The following is a 24240-nucleotide window of genomic DNA, read 5'->3' on the forward strand; positions in this document are numbered from 1 at the left end:
CCAGTCTTAAGTAAATATGATGTTGAGTTAGGGTCCTGGTAGATAGGATTCTGTCAGCACATCCACGGGGTAGAAAGCCTGGTGCTTTCCACCTGTTACTGGTCTGCGCGGTCACAACCAAGAAGCCAGGTTTCTACAACTCATGTTCTTGTCTTTAATGATGTATCTTGGAGAAAGAATTAAAGTAGTGTAATATAAATGTTGAAATGTATGTTTAAAAATTAAAACACCAATGAGGGTCACATTTTCATGAAGAATGACTGGCACTGCTACTTACATGAGAAGTAATAATCAAAACCAGGCATATGAGAAGGGCAAGGAAAAGGTGCAGTTGTGTGCCAGACATTGTGCTAGGTACTTTACAGTGGGAGAGTGGGTGGCGGCTTTCAGCTGTGTAACTTGAAGAACCGAAAATTCCTCCTTGTCAAAAAAGTAAACAATATACACACACACACAGACACGCTTTTGTTCCCATTATTTTGTGTCAGTTTCATTTATTTTTGTTAAATATAGCTTCTCTTTATGGTTCTCTTTGAAAATGTGCATCCCTCTGGGAGAGATGACACATTAGGTGACAGTCACATTATGATGTGAGTCAAGGTATATGAACGTGTCAGGAAGGGGAAATAGGTCCCGGAATTAGCCAAATAGGGAGGGAGGGAGGCAACCAGATGCAAGCCGGATTTCCACTACTTTACAAAGCTGCTGTGCAGTCTTTTAGAGAGAGGCCCAACTCTAATTATTACACTCTCATGAACAGTGAGAAACTTGGAGATTTCTTTTGTATGTCCTTATCCCAAAAATAGGCATGGCTTTTTTTTTTTTTTTTTTTTTTTTTTTCAGTGAAAGAGGTTTGCAGCTGGACTGGGAGAATTAAGGTGAGAAAGGTCAACAGGTTACAGAGGCCAGTGCAACAGGGCTTGTTAGACGTAATCAAAGACCTGCTTAGGGAAGCTGCAGGAAGCAGAAGGTTGGGATTTCCACCTAGGGAGGTTATAGGGGCCCTCTGGCTAAAGGGAAGTTGGCTCAACTCTGAAAAGGTTTAAAATCCAGTTTAAAATTCTGATTAGGAAAATCCCACAATAAGCAGTTGGTCTTTTTAAATGTTTCCCCTCTCACAGGGCAAGATGCTTCTGCCTAATAGTTCAGCATCATTGGAAAGGACTTAGTGTGTTCGCAGATCACTTTGATAAGCGCTTCTGCCACCTCTTTTCTTTCCTCCTTTTTGTGCTTTAAGAACCTCCGTCATGAGATCGTTTTCTTCTTTCTGAGATTGGTCTCCCTAGGGAAGACCAGAATGACAATGTAGACTAAATTGTTGTCCAGAGTTGTCATTCATTTGTTGCTTTTGAACTTAGAGAGATGGAAGCCACTACATATTAATGCGTTGTTTTAATGTATAAGCCAACACCTCACACTTACTGAGCATAAAGTTTTTTGCCATGTATTTTCCCTTTTTTGCAGTAGTCTTAGCCCTCTGTCAAATTAACATGTTTGCCTCTTTTGAAAACTCATATTTCCTCCTGAAACAGTAAGAACTAAGGAGAAGAGCAAAGCATTGGAACAGTCCCTGCTGAAGACAATAGTATGATAAGAACATTGAAAAATACAATTTAATAGGCTAAAATGCATTTGGGACATCAAGTTATTGGCCAGAATGCATCTTTATGCATAGCAAGCCTTGCCAGTGGGGATCTCATGGGGAGTAATGGTGATTAAAAGGTTTTTGAAGAGCGAAGTTGTGTAACCAAGCTTGTATAAGAGACTGAAACTTGGTTCATCTCGTAGTGGACAGCCTGAAGACAGACACTCCAGACATGTGTTAGTCCATTTGCATTGCTATAAAGGAATAACTGAGGCTGGGCAATTTATAAAGAAAAAGTTTTATTTGGCTCACAGTTCTGCAGGGTGTACAAGAAGTATAGTGCCAGCATCTGCTTCTGGAAGGGCCTCAGGAAGCTTCCAATCAATGGTGGAGAGTGAAGGCAAGTCACATGGTGAGAGAAGGAGCAAAAACGAAAGCAAGAAGTTGCCACACTCTTTTGAACAACCAGATCTCATTACCACTCATTACTGAGGGAAGAGCACTGAGCCGTTCATGAGGGATCCACCCCCCTGACCCCAACACCTGCCACTAGGCCCTAGCTCCAACATTGAGGGTCACATGTCAGCAGATTTGGAGGGGACAAATACCCAAACCATATCAAGAAAGTATTTGGTGGCCCAGTTAAGAGATGACAAAGGCTACAAAGAGGAAGGAAAGGGGAAAGGCCAAGAGATATCTGGGAATTAGAATCCTCAGGACTTAGTTTCCTTACCACTATGGCAGTATCAGTAGTGACTGTGTCCCAAGCTCAAGAAAGTGAACTTGACTGTGCCTGGTCTCTCACAAATTTCCAGACCAGTCTTAGTGAGGTAAAAAGATGCATTCTAGGATCAGTGAATATTATTTAGTCATTTCATGTACCCAGTGGGTTAATGCTTCTATAACTAAAACAAGCCATTCCCCCTTTTCTGCCAGCAGAAAGATGGAAAACAAGGTTCACAATATGCTTCCCGTGATGTGTTAGGATTTGTTTGGTCATGATTTTTTATCCATAATAGAGGGATATAGTAAGAGTTTGAATCCCAGAAATAGAACTGCCCACTTACTTGGCTGAGGCAGGGGTAGGGGAGAAGCACTGTGTGTGGACAGAATTTCGTCAGGTGGTAGAACATGTTGCCTAAGGGGTTTAAACAACAGTATGTTCGAGTTCAGGCAAGATGTCAGTAAAACAGGAAACTACTGAATACAGACTAAATGTAAGAATCTTTATATATGATAAGAATCGAAACCTTCAGGGACTGAAAGAAGGTCATGGGGAATCTGGAAGACCAAGCAAAAGGTCACTTATAGGAAATGGATCATGTCTGCTTTAGATTCAAAGCCAAGACAGCTGTATATTAAACCCCAAAAAGTGGCACCAGACCTGTCAGAATGCTCACCACGCCAAGTCAGTGACTTAAAGAGTCAGTGATCCTATGGGTATAAATATCAGTTAGGCCCAAGAATGGAAATGAAGAAGGATGTCTAGTCTGGAAGAACCTGCCACCACCCACAAACTAAGTCATCTTGACCAATAGGTTGAACTGTACATGAATCCATATATTAAACAAATACTTACTGCATGGTCATCTGTGGTATCCTATATCCTAGACACTTTGTTGGTTTTGTGATATAAAACTGAAAGAGACACTGCATCCCTCAAGGAGAGGGGGAAGTTGGCAGGCACAGAGCAATAAGTTTCCTCCTTTTTAGAGGTAATGGTTGGTCCCACCTTTAGCAGAAGATTCATATAACACCCTCTCACAGGAGAGAACAAGAGCAAGGCCTCAGCCCAAATCAGAGCCCACACTTTCAGTGGACAGTCACTCCTCAGCACAGACAGCACCCATGTGACTCACCAGACTCCCTTGACCACAGTTTTTCCACAGTCAAAGGCAGGCAGAATGGTCTATAAACTGAAACCACTGGGTTATTTTTATTTCTTGGCTCAAGTTCAGATTCCCACACGTGGTGGAGACCACGGATACGTAACAATGTCTAGGGCATGACTGTTGTATTCACACCCACTATCACAATTCCCTTGTCCTACTCTTACCCACTGAAGAGGAATGTGAACAGAAAAGACTTTGGGGGGTGGAATTGATATATTTTGCAGTACTAGTTACTAGTGGGTGGACTACATGTGAGGATTATGGAATAAAAATTTTTTTGAACAAAAGGTGTGCATTATAAACAAGTCTCATTATATTATTATTATCATTTTTTCTTTCGAGGTGGGAGTAGACAGAAGAGACAATCAGGATAATCTTGTCTGTCATAGCCAGAGAACATCAGAAAAATACTCCATTTAAAGAGAATTTATTTTCTCTGGCTGGCAGAAACAAACGCTTGTATATCTTATATATAATTATATACATATATATGTATACATATATACACACACATATATATATGTATACATATATACGCACATATATGTATACATATATACGCACATATATGTATACATATATACACACATATATATATACATGTATATACACATATATATGTATACATATATATATATATATGTATAACACTTTATAAAATACCTGGATACCTGGTGGGTATAGACTAATGCAGAATAAGCTATTCTTTAAAATCTAGTATCCACAGATAATAACAAGTATTGGTGAGGAAGTGGAGAATTAGACATTGCTAGTGGGAATGTAAAATGGTGCATCTGCCTTGGACAGCACTTTAGCAGTTCCTTACATGGTTAAACATAGAGTTATAAGACCAAGCAATCCTACAACTAAATATATACCCAAGAGAAATAAAAACATATGTCCACATAAAAAGGTGTACACAAATGTTCCTTGCAGCATTATTTGTAATAGCCAAAAAGTGAAAACAGCCTACATGTCCATCAGTTGATAAATGGATAAATATAACTGATATATTCATACAATGGAAAATAATTTGATAATAAAAAGGAATGAAGTATTGATGCTACCACACGGATGAACCTTGAGAACATGCTTTGTAAAAGAAACCAATCACAAGAGACTACATATTATTCCATTTAGGAAAAGTTTTCAGATTAGGGAACTACCTAGACACCAAAGTAGTTTGATTAGTAGATACCCAGACCTAGGACTGGTGGATTTGCCAGCGGGGAGTAACTGCTAATGGGTACAGGGTTTCTTTTTGGAATGACAAAAATATTCTAAAATGGATTGTGGTAATGGTTGCCCAATCTGTGAATATACTAAAAACCATTAAAGTGTGCACTTTAAATGGGTGTATTGTATGGTATGTGAATTACATCTCAATAAAGCTGTTTTTAAAAACCTAGCTTCCAATATCTTGGCATCTTGGCCTGTTTCCTCCACTACTTGCTGCAGCTAGAGCTTTTTGCAGTGGTATTTGGGAAAAGTAATGTGTGGACCTCTGGTATCTTAAGTCCTCTACTGTAAGGATATTTTCTGAGATTTCATTAAAAATTATTACTTAATTAAGCCTGGAATTGCAACCCAATAGCTTCTCAGTAGGAATACACCATCTGTGCTGTTCTTTAGATGAGTTTATTCTAAAAGGACATTTTATATTTCAAAGTGTGCATTGATTTAATGTATGTAGCACTGCTATATAGACTTACAGGCTGAGTTTTTAAGTTTTTAAAAATATTTTATCAAGTATATACAGCCATTGTATTTTTACTGTTTTATGAGCACTATTGACTCAAGGGGCGTTAATTTTGAATGGTTTTAATTTTATCCAGTTACTGCCTTAGGCTATGTTTTGTGGAATCTTGCTTTTCTATCCCTTAACAATATCTAGCAGATCTTTTAGCACTCACTACTGCGGGTCACTTTCTCATTATTAGAAGGTCAACCTGGTCCATTTTTAAACTCCCATCTTATACCTGATTTAAATCTAATATCTTCTTTCTACTCCATCAAAATGCGAGGAACATGGTCTGGTACCTCCTTTTTCCCCCTAATCAAGCCGTAACTCCTTGCGGGTGAGGGATAGGTAATAAGTGAGAACAGTGTCCCTTTACCTAATTTCACATGGTTGTCATCTTCCTGCATCTTTGGCAAATACAGCCTTGCCATCCATGCCTTCTGGGTAACAGGTGTCAAAATGCTTCTTCACATTGGGTAACTGGGAGAGTTCACTGCCCAGTTCCCTGATGTTGAAGACCTAGCCTAGACTCAACCCCCTTGCCCAGCCCAGCCCATTTCCCAGTAGTGTACTGGTAAATGTTTAACAAAAGGCTGGGCAGGGGTGGTATGTGTATATGTACATACCTAAGTTTATTGTACATTTTACTGATGTAAACAATGTATAGTAAATAATTTACAACAGTAAACAATGTATAATAAATAATTTATAAATTATAAAATATACAGTACTCTTAAATGTAAATTTCATATAGCCAGCTGATTCTTCCAGAAAGGCATTGATATTTGCCAAACTCTTTCCTGTGTATTCATCCTGTGATTGCACCTGACAAATGAGTATATTTCTAACATGACTGTTGGGTGATATTTTCATTTAAGAAATAAGACAAAGTGAAACAAAGATGTCAGAGCTTGTTTTTAGTAATGTCATGAGCAACTTCTTTGCTAAATCAAATAATAGTTTTCAAATACTAGAAGAATGTGTCCTCCAATTTTTGTACTGTTCACAGTGTGAGGACTCTAGAGATGATAGACTTTTAAGTTTAATCTGCATTATTAGCATCTTCTTTATCACTTCCTTAAGTCTAGACAGTCAACAATAAATCAAGTCCTGATTTTGTACCATTTTTGCATTTCAAGTTGCCAACATAACTCTTAATAAATGGATAATTGGGACAAGATGCATGCTAGCACAATTTTTCCCACCATGCACATAGACAATAAAAAAGTAAGAGCATAGAGGGTAATAGTAAACTGATTAAGAAGTGATGAGTTTTTAAGTATTTTCTATGTTTGTTTTTAATATTACCTATTTAATTATAAGTTTGTATAATGTTTTAATAATGGCTCCAGAGCACCACTGCCCCTCACACACAGCATTCTTCTAAGAATCTCTTTGCTATCAGAGTCCCCTCACCTGTGTGCTCCTTTCTTTTTTTTTTTTTTTTTTTTTTTTTTTGAGACAGAGTCTCGCTCTGTCAGATAGGCTAGAATGCAGTGGCACAATCTCAGCTCACTGCAACCTCCGTTTCCCAGGCTCAAGTGATTCTCCTGCCTCAGCCTCCCGAGTAGCCGGGATTACAGGCGTGTGCCACCACGCCTGGCTAATTTTTGTATTTTTAGTAGGGACAGGGTTTCACCATGTTGGTCAGACTGGTCTCAAACTCCTGACCTCGTGATCCGCCCATCTCGGCCTCCCAAAGTGCTGGGATTACAGGCGTGAGCCATCACGCCCAGCCTGTGCTCCCTTCTTGATAGGACACTGACAAGATAGCAAGGATCGTACAGACCGCTTTTTTTGCCACTTCCTCTCTCTACTCAGCTAGTCTAGGAGCAGGTCAGCAGGTCAGCTACCTAAGCAACTCATATCTGATTTAAATTTCCAGACAGGGATAACACTCAAGAGTCTCCTTGAAGACACTCTGAATCTTTACTAACGAATCTCTTGGTACCCTCCCGAAGTGGCTTTGAGAAAGGAAAGCCATCTTTTGGAGGGGAGGGTGTGGAGAACAGGACACCTCCACTGCCACACAAACTACACTCCCAAGGTAGTAGCTCAGTATTCCCACAAACGTCCTTTCTCTTCTTTTTCATGTTTTATGTTGGACTCCTGGAGCTGGCAGAGCCAGCTTATCTTAATAAGTCCTGAGGGAGATATTAATGTCTCCTTGGAATTTGGGATAGTTAATACCTCTTTTAGTATCCCTGGTTATTGATTCTGAAGCAGTAGCACATGTTGCTAGATTTAGGCAGTTTTATTTAGCATTCCCAATTTTAGATCTAGTTTGATAATGTCCATTATTTGATTTAAATCATGGAAATGATCGTTTTTCTCCCTTAATCACTACAAGTCACACACTGTTATGTCTTTTGAGGATACTTAATCTTTCTGGTTTGGGTTAAGCCTATAATTAGTAGTCAGGTTTTTCTACCTTCCAAACTACAAAAACCCAACTTTGTCCTAATCACTTCATTTTAGACTCAGAGGAATTCCAGTGTTTCTAAATCCTGATAACATTATATATGTATGTATAATTTTAATTTTTATTGTAGATTCAGGGAGTGCATATGCAGGTTACAAAGGTATATTGCGTGTTGCTAAAGTTTGGGGTTCTGTTGATCGTGTCACCCAGATAGTGAACATAATACCCAATAGGAAGTTTCTCAGCCCTTGCCCCCTTCCCCGACTCTCACTCTCCTTTTGAAGTCCTTAGTGCCTTTTGTTCCCATCTTTACATCTGTGTGTGCCCAGGCTTAACTCCCACTTATAAGTGAGACAATGCAGTATTTGGTTTTCTGTTTCTATGTTAATTCACTTAGGATAGTGGCCTTCAGCTGCATCCATGTTGCTGCAAAGGATATGATTTTGCTCCTTTTGATTGCTGCATGCTATCCCATGCTGTATATGTACCACATTTTCTTTATCCAGTCCACTGTTGATGGGCACCTAGGTTGAATTCATCCCTCTGCTTTTGTGAATAGCGCTGCAGTGAATGTACAAGTGCAAGTGTCTTTTTGGTAGAACAATCTATTTTCCTTTGGGTATATACCCAGTAATGAGACTGTTGTGTCAAATGGTAGTTTTGTTTTGATGACATTATTTAGAGGGACATGAGAGTCCTATACCCTGGGGTGAAATGCTTTAATTGCTCCAAGTATTAATCTCATCAAGATTAGGGTTCTCAAAAAAAAATTACAGAAGGAAAGGAATGAGGTACGATGAGGACTTAATTTACTAGATATCAAACCCTACTATAAAGCTATAGTGATACAAATCAGGAGTGAGTAAAGCAAAAGACAAATTATTCCGTTGAAAGAATAACAAGTACAGAATCAGGTCCAGATACACATAGGAAGCTTGTGTATGATAAAGTTAACATTTCACATAAAAGTTACTGTAAATATAGGAGAAAGTAAATACGCAAAGATATTTCTAAACTAGTGCAGTGAATATAGAGAGCCTTTATAAACATGCATCAAACCAGAAAATATTAAAGAAAGATGGACTGCTTTGAATTCTTAAATTTTTTAAATTTATATTTGGCCAGAGACATCATAAGCTAGGTTAAAGGACAAATCATATACTGGGAGAAAATATTTTTTCCACACATAATAGATGAATCGTGTTATCTTTAGAAGTGCACTAAATTTATTTTGGCTGAGTACTAAACAGCCAGTATTAAAATCAATGAACAGCCTAAGGCAAAGCTGAATGTTCCCATCATAAAATGACCTTCTGAGATATAAGAATAAATATGAAATTTTATTTTCAAGAACTTAATGTTACAGTTTTATTATTAAAGCATCAGTATGTTTTTAAGGTTTGTCATTATGATGTACCAATATCTTTTCTCAGTGCTGCCAGCTGCTAGGTGGTTCCTCCACACTTGCAATACCTAAATAGCTGCTTGTTGTCAGCTGATTAAAAGCGTGGATTTTGTGGGCAATGTACGCCAATATGGGTTACTATTCATGGAGATTGTGCTATTAGGTCAATAAGCTCTCCTTTTTCTTGAATAGTAACAAAAGGGTAAAGTCTTCTCAACTCCTAGACTTAAAAACTTAGCTGATGATGACACACTGTCATTGAAACAATTTCACAAACTAAAGCTGTGTGCAATGCTTAAACAAAACACTTTGACTGAATAAAAAAAAATGTGGTACATATATGCAATGGAGTACTATTCAACAGTAAAAAAGAATGAGATCCTATGATTTGCAACAACATGGACGGAGCTGGAGGTCATTATGTTAAGTGAAATAAGCCAGGCACAGAACGACAAGCTTCACATGTTCTCACTTATTTGTGAGCGCTAAAAATTAAAACCACTGAACTCATGAAGATAGAGAGTAGAAGAATGGTTACCAGAGGCTGGAAAAGGTAGTTGGTGTCAGAGGGAGGGAAGTGAGCACAGCTAATGGATACAAACAGTTAGAAAGAATGAAAAAGACCTAGTGTTTGCTAGCACAACAGGGTGACTATAATAAAAAATAATTTAATTGTACATGTTAAAATAACTAAAAGAGTACAACTGGATTGTCCATAACACAAAGGATACATGCTTGAGGGGATGAATACTCCATTTGCCATGATGTGATTGTTATACATTGCATTCCCATGCCTTATCAGAGTATCTCATGTACCCCATCAATATATACACCTACTATGTACCCACAAACATTAAAAATTATAAATTTTTATAAAGAAAGCAGTTTGCAGGCTGATCTCAGTGGCACACACCTGTAGCCCCAGCTACTTAGAAGCCTGAAGCAAAAAAGGATTGCTTGAGCCAAGGAGTTTGAGGCTATAGTACACTATAATCATGCCTGTGATTAGGCACTGCACTTCATCCTGGACAACATGATGAGACCTTGTCCCTAAGAAAGAAAACACTTTCTCAATATTTAAGAAGCAGACATAAGACTTCTGCCATTACATTTTTATTTCTAATACTTTTGCATTCACTTGCTGCTTCACACAGTCACCAGATGTGCTACACTTTATGCCAGCAGCTGTTGCTTGTTACCAAGTCATTTTCTTTTGGTACAGGTTGAGTGTCCCTAATCTGGATATTGAAAATGCTCCAAAATCTGAAACTTTTTGAGCACCTACATGACTCTCAAAGGAAATGCGCATTGGAGCATTTCAGAATTTGGATCTTCAGATTAGGGCTACTCAGCCTGTATTAGCACTTGCAGTGGATAACATTAAAACCATGTTTGTTCCAGCAGCCTTTTAACATGTGGTGGCTGCTCTTCTCTCTCATTTTGAACATTTGTGTGAATACATGTGTAGACAATGCCAGATGTTTCCTTCATATATTATGTAGTTTGTCTTTGGCTAAAAGAGATTTTTAGTCCCAAGTTACATTCAGAATGCTTACCAATATTTAAAAATCAGTATTCAGATACTAACAGTAAGTCCAAGTGATGATGTTATGCTTACTATATGTGATAATAACCTATATGATCTTTGATCTCTACAAGTTCAGTAAACCTGGAAATGACATTGAATGAGGCATTTGCCTATTCCGTCTTCCAAAAGCTAAAGCAAATTTTGACCGAGTACTGAGGCCAAAGCTTAGTTATAGTGTGTTTTCAATATTTATAGTGTATAAAGTGTTCCTTCATATTAGAAAAAATGGACTAAGGACATGAACAAAATACTCACAGAAGAAATACAAATGGTGAACAAACTTGAAAAAATGTTAAACTTCAGTAGGTATCAAATTAAATACAGGTACAACGACAGATTATTTTTCTGTTAGTTTGGAAAAAAAACAAAAAAGCTGATAATGAGTTGGTGAGAATGCCCAGAAAGAGAGTAAATTGTACATACTTTTATTGAAGGGTGGTTTGGCAGCATTTACCAGACATTTAAAATGTATACAGTGGTCCAGGAATCTGCCCTCCAGAAGTACTCAAATATGTCCTCAAAGATTTATACAAGACTGTAATATAGTTCTAACAGCAAAAAATCAAAATCTAAATGTGATCATAAGGGGAGTGGAAAAATGAATGCTGACTCACTATGCAAAGGAATGCCTTATAGTTACTAAAACTAATGTGCTAAGTCAATATGTGCTGTCTCAGAAACACAGCTACGGTACATTGTTACAGAAGAAAATGCGAGTTGCAGAATGTCTGTGCGATTTCTATTTAAATAAATAAAATATGGAAGGATGAGGGTCAAACCATTAACTGTAGTTGCCTCAAGGTGGAAGGGGGTATTGAGTTGAAGAGAAGGTAGTATTTTTTTACTTTATACATACTTCTGTATTATTTGAATTTATTATAATGCACATCTGTTATGTTTTAATTTTATAAAAGATTTAAATAAAACTAGGCTAGACCAAACCATGGAATAAAAGTATTATGAAAGAAACAAAAATTAATTATTTCTCTCATTTTAAGACAACTCACAGATAGCCTCCAGTGACTTGGGGAGCGAAAAGAATAACATTAATCAAAGATACAGTGGAACTGCCGGAGGACAGTGGATCATAGCCTTGAAGAATCCAAGAAATGGCAAAGTGCAGGCCACAAATTCCAATAACAAAATAATTATGTTTAAAAAAACATAATTTTTAAATTATGTTTACATAATTAGAGGAGAAAAGTGAAAGAATGCTGTTAAAATCACCACCATGTCCCTATCTCTGACTTCCTAGTAATCCTTGAGTAGAGACAGGACAAACATCTATGATGCAATCTATTTATAATGCTAGTGCTGCAAAGGAACACCTGCCTTGTGGAGTGACTGTGCTATATATGGCTGTTGTTGTGTGTATACCTTATCTACTTATATTCTTCTAATCATCCATCCATCCATGCAGTAAACATATAGGGTAAGAGGGATACAGAGATGACAGACAGTCCTGTGAGGGGAGAAACTTGTTTAGCACTGGTTCTCCAGTACCTGGAACAGAGTAGGGGCTCAATAAATATTTGTTGAATGAGTGCATGGGCTCCCGTCCAGTGAGAAAACAGAAAAGTAAACAGACAGCTAAAAGGCAGTACTGGCACACCTCGTTTGACAGTGCTTTTGTGTTTCACATATACTGTTGTTATTGTTTTTTTTTTTTAACAAATTGAAGGTTAGTAGCAAGCCCGTGTCTGTCAGCCCCATTTTTCCAACAGCGTGTGCTCTTTCATGTCTCTGTGTCACATTTTGGTAATTCTCACAATATTTCAAACTTTATTATTATATCCTTTATGGTGATCTGTGATCAGTGATCTCTGATGCTACTATTGTAATTGATTTGTAATGGCCTCTAAGTGTTCAAGTGAAAGGAAGAGTCAAATGTCTCTCACTTTAAATTGAAAGATGGAGATAATTAAGCTTATTGAGGAAAGCATGTCAAAAGCCAAAACAGGCCAAAAGTTAGGCCTCTTGTGTCAAGCATTAGCCAGTTGTGAATGGAAAGGAAAAGTTCTTAAAGAAAATACAAAGTGCTACTTTGATGAACACAGGAATGATTTAAAAAAAAAAAAAAGCAACACACCCTTATTGCTGATAGGGATTTAGTGGTCTGGATAGACAGTCAGACCAGCTACAACACTCCCTTAAGCCAAAGCCTAATCCAGCATAAGGCCGTAACTCTCTGCAATCCTGTGAAGGCCGAGAGGTGAGGAAGCTGCAGAAAAAAAGTTGGAAGCTAGCAGAGGTAGGCTCACAAGGTTTTAAAAAAGAAGCCATCTTCCTAACATAAAATTGCAAGGTTGAGGGTGACCAAGGAACAAGGCAGGTGCAAGATGTAGAAGCAGTTGCTGATATAGAAGCTACAGCAAGTTGTCCAGAAGATCTAGCTAAGATAATTGATGAAGGTGGCTACATTAAACAGATTTTCATTGTAGATGAAACAGCCTTCTGTTGAAAGATACCAATCTAGGACATTTATAGCTGGAGAGAAATCAATGCCTGGCTACACAGCTTTAAAGGACAGGCTGACTCTCTTAGTAGGGGTCTAATGTAGCTGGTGACTTCAAGTTGAAGCCAGTGCTCATTTACCATTTCAAAAATCCTAGGACCCTTAAAAACTTGCCTGTGCCTACTCTGCCTGTGCTCTCTGAGTGGAAGAACAAAGCCTGGATGACAGCACATCTTTTTTAATATGACGTACTGAATATTTTAAGCCCACGGTTGAGACCTACCTCTCAGAAAAAAAAAAAAAAAAAGATTCTTTTCAAAATACTAGTACTCAAAGATCTAATATCCAGAGTCTACAAGGAACTTAAACAAATTTACAAGAAAAAAAATTTAAAAGTGGGCAAAGGACATGAACAGACACTTCTCAAAAGAAGACATACGTGTGGCCAATAAAAATATGAAAAAAAGCTCAAAATCACTCATTAGAGAAATGCAAATTAAACCACAATGAGATATCATCTCATGCCAGTCAGAATGTCTATTATTAACAAGTCAAAAAACAACAAATGCTGTCAACATTGCAGAGAAAAAGGAATGCATTTACACTGTGGATGGGAGTATAAATTAGTTCAACCATTGTGGAAGACAGTGTGATATTTCAGTGACCTAGAGGCAGAAATACCATTTGACCTACCAGTCCCATTACTGGGTGTATACCCAAAGGAAAATAAATTATTTTGTTATTAAGATACGTGCACACATATGCTCATTGCAGCACTACTCACAATAGCAAAGACATGGAATCAACCCAAATGCTCATCAATTATAGACTGGATAAAGAAAATGTGATACATACACACCATAGAATACTGTGCAGCCATAAAAAGGAACAAGATCATGTCCTTTGCATGGACATGGATGGTGTTGGAAGCCATTATCCTCAGCAAACTAGCACAGAAACAAACCAAACACCACATGTTCTCACTTATAAATGGGAGCTGAATGATGAGAGTACATGGAAACATGGTGAGGAACAGCACACCCTGGGGCCTGTCAGAGGGGGCAGGGAAGGGGAGCATCAGGAAGAATAACTAATGGATGCTGGGATTAATACCTAGGTGATAGGATGATCTGTGCAGCAAACCACCATGGCACGTGTTTATCTGTGTAACAAACATGCACATCCTGCACATGTACCCCTGAACTTAAAAGTTAAAAAAAAATTTTTAAATACTACTACTGGTTGATAATACACCTGGTCACCCAAGAGCTCTGATAGAGATGTATGAAGAGTTGAATGTTGTTTTCATGCCTGCTAACACAGCATCCATTCTGAAGGCCATGTATCAAGGATTAATTTCAGCTTTCAATTCTTATTATTTAAGAAAACTAGGCAGGGCGTGGTGGCTCATGCCTATAATCCCAGCACTTTGGGAGGCCAAGGTAGGTGGATCATGAGGTCAGGAGATCGAGACCTTCCTGGCTAACATGGTGAAACCCCGTAAAAATACAAAAAATTAGCCAGGCATGATGGCAGGTGCCTGTAGTTCCAGCTGCTCAGGAGGCTGAGGCAGGAGAATGGCGTGAACCCAGGAGGTGGAGCTTGCAGTGAGCCAAGATCGTGCCACTACACTCCAGCCTGGGCAACAGAGCAAGACTCCATCTCAAAAAAAAAAAAAAAAACCTAAAAGCCTGGGTGTGGTGACTCATATCTGTAATCCCAGTGCTTTGGGAGGCTAGGTGGGAGGATCACTTGAGGCCAGGAGTTTGAGACCAGCCTGGGCAACATAGCAAGACCCTTTCTCAACAACAACAACAACAAAAATTAAAAGTTAGCCAGGCATGACGGTTTGTGTCTGTAGTCCTAACTACTTGGGAGACTGATACAGGAGGATCACTTGAGCCCAGGATCGCGAAGTTACAGTGAACTACGATCGTACCACTGCACTCCAGCCTGGGCAACAGAGCAAGACCCTGTCTCTTAAAAAAAAAAGAAAAAAGAATACTATTTCCTAAGGCTATAGTTTCCATAGATGGCGATTCTCTGATGGATCTGACCAAGGTAAATTGAAAACCTTGTGTAAAGGATTCACCATTCTGTGTGCCATTAAGAACATTTGTGATTCATGGGAGGAGGTCAAAATATCCACATTAACCAGAGTTTTGAACAAGTTGATTCCAACTCTCGTGGATGATTTGAGGGTTTCACAACTTTTATTGGAGGAAATAACTGCAGATGTAATGGAAATAGCAAGAGAACTAGAATTAGAGTAGTACCTGTAAATGTGACTGAACTGCTATAATCTTATGAACAAACTTGAACAGATGAAGAGTTGCTTATTATGGGTGAGCAAAGAAAGTGGTTTCCTAAGATGAAATCTACTGGTGAAGATTGTTTGAACACTGAAATGACAACAAAGTTTTTAGAATATTACATATAAACTTAGCTGATAAGACAGTGGCAGGATTTAAGAGGCTTGATTCCGATTTTGAAAGAAGTTCTGTAAGTGAAATACTGTCAAACAGCAACATCACATGCACAGAGAACTCTTTCCTGAAAGGGAGAGTCGATCGATGCGGCAAACTGTATTGTTGTCTTATTGTAAGAAATTGCCATAGCCACCCCAGCCTTCAGTAACCTGATCAGTCAGCAGCCATCCACATTAAGGCAAGATCCTCCAACAGTAAAAAGATTACGACTTACTGAAGGCTCAGATGATTGTTAGCATTTTTTTAGCAATATTTTTAAGGTATGTACTTTTTTAAGACATAATGCTATTGCACACGTAATAGACTACAGTATAAACACGCACTGGGAAACCAAAAAATATGTGTGACTCACTTTATTGTGACATTCACTTTATTGCGGCAGTCTGTAATCAGACCTGTAACATTTCCAAGGTATGCCTGTATTTGCAGTGCAATGATAGAGATATGAACAAACAAATCAGAGATGGGACACATAAGACTGCTAGGAAGCCCCTGGAAGACATCCTCAGGGAGGCTATGCTTGAACTAAATGTTGAGAAATGAGTAGAAGCCTGCCAGGTAAAAAAGTAGAAAAGGTTATCCCAGGCAGAGGAACCAACATAAGCAAACAAACATAATCATAAAAGAGCAGGGCTTATTTTTTTATTGCATATTTTAATAACTTGATTCAGGTAATCAGATGTCCCAGAAAATATCCCAAACTTTACAAAATATCTTAAGTTTTAAAAATCCTTATGGTAATGTCACGTAACTTCCTATCTAACGTCAGATCTGATTCATGTTAAACACGTTTTGCATATGGCAAAGGGCTTTTATTTCAGGTAAATGGTGAAATTGTTGGTCCTTTTATTATTTTTTTAATTTTTATTTATTTATTTTTGAGGTGGGGTCTCACTCTGACACCCAGGCTGGAGTGCAGTGGCACAACCATAGCTCCCCACAATCTTGAACTCCTGGACTCAAGGGATCCTCCAGAGTAGCTGGGACTATAGGCATGCACCACCACACCCAGCTAATTTTTAAAAATTTATGTAGAGGCGGGGTCTCGCTATATTGATCAGGTTCATCTTAAACTCCTGGCATCCTCGAGCAGGGCTTATTTAAAAAGCTGAAAGTCATTTATTATGGTTAAAGCATGAGGGGAGGAGGCTAGAAAGATAAAGTCTGGATCACAGAAGACCTTGGGAGCCATGCTGAGTTTGGATTTTATCTGAAGAGAATGTCTTTAAGAAGACAATCAGGTATATATTCTTAAAAGATGCACACAAATACATATTTGTTTTCAATTTGTATATGCTTTACAAGGATTAATTCACTTAATTCTCATAACAAACTATGAAGTGTAGGTACCATTATTCTCCCCATTTTGCAGTTGAGGAAACTGAGGCACAGTAATTTCCCAAGGTGACCTGACTCCGTGGTGGAACTAAGTTAAAAACCCAGACATTCTGGATCCAATGCCCATGCCCTTTTCCACTATGCTATACTATCTTTGTGTTTCTTCAAGATGTGTATGTTTTCTTATGAAAGGGGAATAAAAAAATTTTTCGTGTAATTTCTTCCATACCACCTACCAACCAAGATAGAATGTTCTTTGGTCTTGCAAATAGAGTCATTCAGCAGTTCAGCAGTCTGCCTGTCTTTTCTCCATTTCCTCAGGATTCACTTTCCTCTTACCACTTAGCTGCTGCTTATCCCTTTTAGTCTGGATTTTTTGTTTTAGTTTCAGGGGTACATGTGCAGATTTATTATATAGGTCAATTGCATGTCACAGGGGTTTGATATACAGTTGGTTTTGTCACCCAGGTAATAAGCATAGGTAGTTTTTCTATCCTCACCCTTCTCCCACCCTCCACCCTCAAGTAGGCCATGGTATCTGTTGTTTGCTTCTTTGTGTCCATGGGTACTGAATGTTTAGCTCCCACTTATAAGTGAGAACATGCGGTATTTTGTTTTCTGTTCCTGTGTTTGCTTAAGATGATGGCCTCCAGCTCTATCCATGTTGCTGCAAAGGACATGATCTCATTCTTTTTTATGGCTGCATAACATTCTATTGTGTATATATACCACGGTTTTTTTCTTTATCTAGATAGTCTACCATTGATGGGCATTTAGGTTGATTCCATGTCTTTGCTGATGTGAATAGGGCCATGGTGAACATACACATACATGTTTCTTTATGATAGAAATATTCCTTTGGATATACCCCGTAATGGGATTGCTGGGTCAAATGGTAATTCTGCTTTGAGTTATTTGAGAAATCACCACACTGCTTTCCGCAGTGGTTTGTGGAAACGCTTTACACTCCCACCAGCAGTGTATAAGCATTCACTTTCTTCATAACCTTTCCAGCATCTGTTATTTTTTGACGTTTTAATAATGGTCATTCTGACTGGTATGTGATGATATCTCATTTTGGTTTTGATTTGCATTTCTTTAATGATCAGTGATCATTTTTTCCTATGCTTGTTGGCCACATATATGCCTTCTTTTGAGAAATGTCTGTTCATGTCCTTTGCCCACCTTTTAATGGGGTTCGTTTTTTGCTTGTAAATTTAAGTTCCATGTAGACTCTGGATATTAGACGTTTGTTAGATGCGTAGTTTGCAGATATTTTCTCCCATGCTGTAGAGTGTCTGTTTATTCTGTTGAGTGTGTGTGTGTGTGTGTGTGTGTGTGTGTGTGTTGTGTGTTTGTTTGCTGTGCAGACTCTCTTTCATTTAATTAGATCCCATTTGTCAATTTTTGTTTTTGTCGTAGTTGCTTTTGGAGTCTTCATCATGGAATTTTTGCCAGGGCCTGTGTCCAGAATGGTATTTCCTAAGTTGTCTTCCAGGGTTTTCATAGTTTTAGGTTTTACATTTAAGTCTTTAATCCATCTTGAGTTGATTTTTGGATGTGGTGTAAGGAAGGGGTCCAATTTCAATCTTCTGCATATGGCTAGCCAGTTAGCCCAGCACCATTTATTGAATAGGGAGTCCTTTCCCCATTGCTTATTTTTGTCAGCTTTGTCAAAGATCAGATGGTCGTAAATATGTGGCATTATTTCTGGGCTCTTTATTTTGTTCCACTAGTCTATGTGTCTGTTTTTGTACCAGTATCATGCTGTTTTGGTTACTATAGCCTTGTAGTATGCTTTGAAGTCAGGTCATGTGATGCTTCCACCTTTGTTCTTTTTGCTTAGCATTGCTTTGGCTATTCAGGCCCTTTTTTGGTTCCATATGAATTTTAAAATAGTTTTTTCTAGTTCTGTGAAGAATGTCATTGGTAGTTTGATAGAAATAGCGTTGCACCTGTAAATTGCTTTGGGCAGTATGGCCATTTTAACAAACTTCTTCCTTTCCATGAGCTTGGAATGTTTTTCCATTTGTTTGTGTCACCTCTGATTTCTTTGAGCAGTGATTTGTAATTCTCATTGTAAAGATCTTTCACCTCCCTGGTTAGCTGTATTTTATTTTCTTTGTGGCTATTGTGAATGGGATTGTGTTCTTGTTTTGGCTCTCAGCCTGTATGGTGTTGATGCATAGAAATGCTACTGATTTTTGTGCATTGATTTTGTATCCTGACACTTTGCTGAAGTTGTTTATCAGGTCAGGGAGCTTTGGGGCAGAGACAGTGGGGTTTTCTAGGTATAGAATCATATCGTCTACAAACAGGGATAGTTTGACTTCCTCCCTTCCTATTCGAATGCATTTTATTTCTTTCTCTTGCCTGATTGCTCTGGCTAAGAATTCCAGTGTAATATTGACTAGGAGTAGTGAGAGAGGGCATCCTTGATTTGTTCTGGATTTCAAAAGGGGTATGCTTCTAATGTTTGCTCATTTAGTATGATGTTGGCTGTGGGTTTTTCATAGAGGGCTCTTATTATTTTGAAGTATGTTCCTTCAGTGCCTAGTTTGTTGAGGGTTTTTAACATGATGATATGTTGAATTTTAAAAGCCTTTTCTGCATCTGTTGAGATGATCACGTGGTTTTTTGTTTGCGTTGTTTATGCAATGAATCACATTTGTTGATTTGCATGTGTTGAACCAACCTTGCATCCCAAAGTTAAAGTCTACTTGATCATGGTGGATTTGCTTTTTTGTATGCTGCTGGATTTGGTTTGCTAGTATTTTGTTGAGGATTTTTGCATCTACATCCATCGATCCCTTTTAGTCTTGTTCCCTGTCTCTGTCCTCCCTTTTCTAGGTGGGACTATAAACCCTTTGGCTTCCAGGGTACCCAGTGTAGCTCCATCCATTAAAGAGGCAAGGTGGGAGTTGTCTGAGCCTTTTTCCTCTAGAATCAAAGGTGCACATACCACAGATCTCAAAAAATGCGAAGAGGTAGATTACGCAATATGACAATCTTTTTTTTTTTTTCTGGAAAGACGGTCTCGCTCTTTCGCCCAGCTGGAGTACAGTGGCGCAATCATGGCTCACTGTAATCACGACCCCCTGGGCTCCAGTGAACCTCCTACCTCAGCCTCCCAAGAAGCTGGGACCACAGGTACATGCCACCACACCCAGCTGTTTTTTGTTTTTTTTTTTTTTTTTTTTTTTTTGTAGAGATGGGTTCTCACTGTGTTGCCCAGGCTTGGTCTCAAACTCCTCGGCTCAGGCCATCCTCCTGCCTCAACCTCCCAAAGTGCTGAGATTACAGGCATGAGCCGCTGTGCCCAGTTGGTATGACAGTCTTTCACTCGCTTGCAAATAATAGTGATTGTTAGTTGACAGGTATGTACTCTTTGCTTCTAAATTGTGTAGGGAGACAGAGGTGAGATAGAGGAAGTAGAGGTGAGTAAGAAGAAGGTATGTTCCCCTTCATCAGTGATCTTGCAGTCTTACGCTTTCATTCAGGTTATTATTTTATGACTGGTATTTTGTTAACAAAAATGCCATGATGCTGGCTTGGAGCAGCGGCTCATCCTGTAATCGCACCACTTTTGGAGGCCAAGGTGGGAGGACACTTGAAGCTAGGAATTTAAGACCAGCCTGGGCAACATCTGCCGTCTCTACCAAAAAAAATAAATCAATAAACTGGACATGCTACTGTGTGCCTGTAGTCCCAGCTACTCAAGAAGTTGAGGCAGGAGGATTGCTTGAGCCCAGGGGTCAAGGCTGCAGTGAGCTATGATCCCACCACTGCACTCCAGCCAGGGCAACAGAGTGAGACCCTGTCTCAAAAAAAAAAAAAAAAAAAGACATGATTTTTATTAAACAGATGAGGAAATGTGATTTAGAGGAAAGCTTTGTATACCTAACTTCCATCTCTATGATATTCTGTTAACCACACTGTAGATCCTATACTTCTGCCTCAGGAAACCTCTAATACATGCCGTACTGGTGTTTGGGAGAATTAAGTACTTGAAGTCATCTAACTCTGTTCTGCATAAGTCTGAACATGCTCCTCTTTTCAAAAGTGTAAATAATTTTTGAACAAAAACAGAAAATGTGGGAGGCTTTGATTTCAATTTACTTATCTACTGATAAATTTTGTGGCTTTTCTTTAGTAAAAATGAGGAAAACTGACAGATGATAATCTCAAATATTAATAAAGATTTGGGAAAATAGTAACAATCTAGAAACCCAAAATGATGGGAAATATTTTCTTCTTGTTAGAGAAATAGGGTACAGTAATTTATGTTTGGAGCCTGGCTTGGATGGCAGAGTGAAACTGTCTCAACAAAAAAAAAAAATTATTTGGTTGATAACATGTTTTTTTTTTTTATTACCTTTTAGTGTTGCTAAATTCATGACTTTTATTTACCATTTATTAAGTTTAACATTCTGCTAAGAAACAGTATTTTCAGACTTTCACATTGAAAAGTCCTCCCTTAATTAAGCATATACAATTTACCATTTTCAGCAGAGATCCATTTTCACAACTAGCTCTTCAGGATTATTCCACTGAGCTGAATCTTTATGTGCAGCATATGAAAAAGTAGTTTGTAGCCTTTTTCTCCTTTCATGAAATATTAGCTTAAACATCAGCACTGCTACTGGGGGTAATATTCAGAAAATCATAGGGACATGTAAATTGATATGAGAAGATAGTTACTATGTTGAATAGAATTTTAAGTGAACATCAAATACTAATTGTTAGTGGTCTTTTTTATTTTTTTAGAAACAGAGTCTTGCTCTGTCACCCAGGCTGGAGTGTGGTGGCATGATCACAGCTCACTGTAGTCTTAAACTTCTGGGCTCAAGCGATCCTCCCACCTCAGCCTCTCAAGTAGGCTGGACTACAGGGGCACACCACCACACCTGGCTAATTTTTGTTATTTTTTTGTGGAGTTGGGGGTCTCAGTGTGTTGCCCAGGCTGGTCTTGAACTCCTGGCCTCAAGCTGTCCTCCACCCTCAGACTCCCAAAGTGCTGGGATTACAGACGTGAGCCATCTGACCCAGCCAATAACATGATTTTTTTAATTCCTTCATTGTGTATTTTTACTTTATCCCTTCATTTTATACTTTAAACAAATTTAAGATTTGTATAACTTCCAAAGATGCATGCATGGTAATGGTCCTCACATCGTTGTTTTTAAAACAAAAGTTGGAGAGTACCCAAACATCTAAAAACAGGAAATTCGTTCTTAATTCAGGTATTAGAAATGATGAAGTAGATCTACAATTATCTATGTAAAAAGTTATTTACCATATCGGTATAAAAATCATAGTTATTTTTTAAAAGATTACAAAAGCAGACTATAAATTAATCCCTTTTTTTTTTTTTACATCATGTGATTAGAAGTGTAGGAAGAAAACATACCACGATGTTAACAGCAGTTTTCTTTGCGTGGATTTATACACGAGATGGTCTTTACTTTCAACTTCCTGTCTTGCATATTGTCTGAGGTGGTTTTCTAAATTATTATTAATTACTGTTTTATAGTTAGTGTGTATAATTTTACAGGTGGAAAAAAAATTTTTTAATCAAATTTGAAAACGTAAAAGAACCTTGAAAGCAATTAAATGTTAAGCATGCAAAAAAAAGTTTGCACAACGCACGCTAATTGTTACCAGCACTCTAACTTGTTTTTAATTGTTTCTCCTTTTGCCTGTACTGAAATACTATTAACAGTTGATATGACACATTTTCCCACCCCACAGCTTCTTGTTCCCTTTATTCTTCATTTGTTTCCCTCCACCCCCTTTGAGCTGAAGTGGCAGACCTGTCTTATTCCCAGTGTGTACACTCTGGATGTGGGTACAGTTTGAGGTGGAACATATAAGTCAGTGTTATTCTTCTGACATTGAGCCTTACCTTCATCAGTAAGTTAGAATGGATCTTCAATGTGTTTCACTAATATAAGTTCTATTTAATTAAACACCTATCTTGAGTGATACAGACTTAAACTATTAAGGATGCCCACGTTTCACCCTACTCTTTGCATTCTAGAATGCCAGGAATCAGAACAAGATTACTTTTTTTGAAGGTAGAGAAATGTGACTCAGATTTCACTTTGGCCCCTATTACTCTAATGTCATTACTTAAGCTCAAGTGAAAGGCTACATTTTTAAAAAAGTATCCTGGCCAATTGCCAGATATTTTGTGTCTGTATTTGGTAGTGCTGGTTTAAATCTTGTTGAATCTTGACTGGACTGGGTGAAATGGTAGAGTTTTCATTTCAACATCTGAGAAAATGAAGAAGAATCACAAAGAGTAGGCAGAGAGGCAAACGTTTCGAACAAACCCACATACTAAGTAGTCTACTAATTGTGATATAAGTGAATGTAGGAAACTGGCTTCTCCCTGGAATAATTATTACGAGATTTACACAATTCCAGGAAAACTTAAGCAAGTCTTGTTGAGCAGGCTTTCAAAGGCTTTGTTATCATGAGCTTCAGCAGATAGGTTAAAAAGTGGTGTTTCTATTATACCTTTCATATTGAGAACATATGACCATGAGTGCCTTACAAGGTTAGTCTCAGGATCTTCCCAAGTTGCCGGTGGTGTTGGGCCACAGACGTAGTTCCATATTCTCTACTATTTTTTTCCTACCAAACATTAGCTTTTGATGATTTTTCTCATTTTCCCTAGTGGATCCTCCTTACCTGACTGCTCTAATATACCCAAATTCCCAATACCAAAAATAGGGGAAATATAAATCGGGGAAAGAGTGAAATTAGAGAATTGGAGGGAAAAGAGTAGAATCTGGGATCTTTAGGAACCTAAGTTACTTTTTTTTTAATTGCTTTGCTTTTTGTTTTTTTGTTTTTTTGTTTTTTTTTTTTTGTCTTTTTTTTTAAAGAGGGTCTCACTCTGTCACCCAGGCTGGTATGTGGTGGCACGATCATAGCTCACTACAGACTCAAACTCCTGGACTCAAGCGATCCTGCTGCCTCAGCCTCTTAAAGTGCTAATATTACAAGCATGAGCCACCGTGCCCCAATTTTTTTAATTAAACGTTGACCCAATCAATATTCTGGATAGAGAGCTATCTCCCAGCACCCTGTTAAGTTAAGCACCCTGTTAACTAACAGCACCCTGTTAGTTAAGAGGGTGAACTCTGGCTCCAAGCCCTGCTCCACCCCTTTCTCCACGTTGGGCAAGAGACTCAGCCTCCTTATGCTCCAATTTCCTCCTGTGTCAGCTCCTTAGAAATCCATGTCATTAACATATTAGAGTTTTAGGACATGGTTAGTCATGGTGAGTGTTAGCTATTATTAACATCTATTAGTAT

The 24240-nt window shown here is 38.3% G+C and overlaps 1 protein-coding gene across 2 annotated transcripts in view; it reads left to right on the plus strand.

Moving 5' to 3' along the window:
• The window catches only part of UBE2E2 (ubiquitin conjugating enzyme E2 E2), a 388828-nt gene that overhangs the window by 361534 nt on the left and 3054 nt on the right, over nt 1–24240 (plus strand). The gene's annotated exons all lie outside the window — the stretch shown is intronic.

Source organism: Homo sapiens, chromosome 3 (assembly GCF_000001405.40).
Source record: "Homo sapiens chromosome 3, GRCh38.p14 Primary Assembly".
NCBI classification, from domain to species: domain Eukaryota; kingdom Metazoa; phylum Chordata; class Mammalia; order Primates; family Hominidae; genus Homo; species Homo sapiens.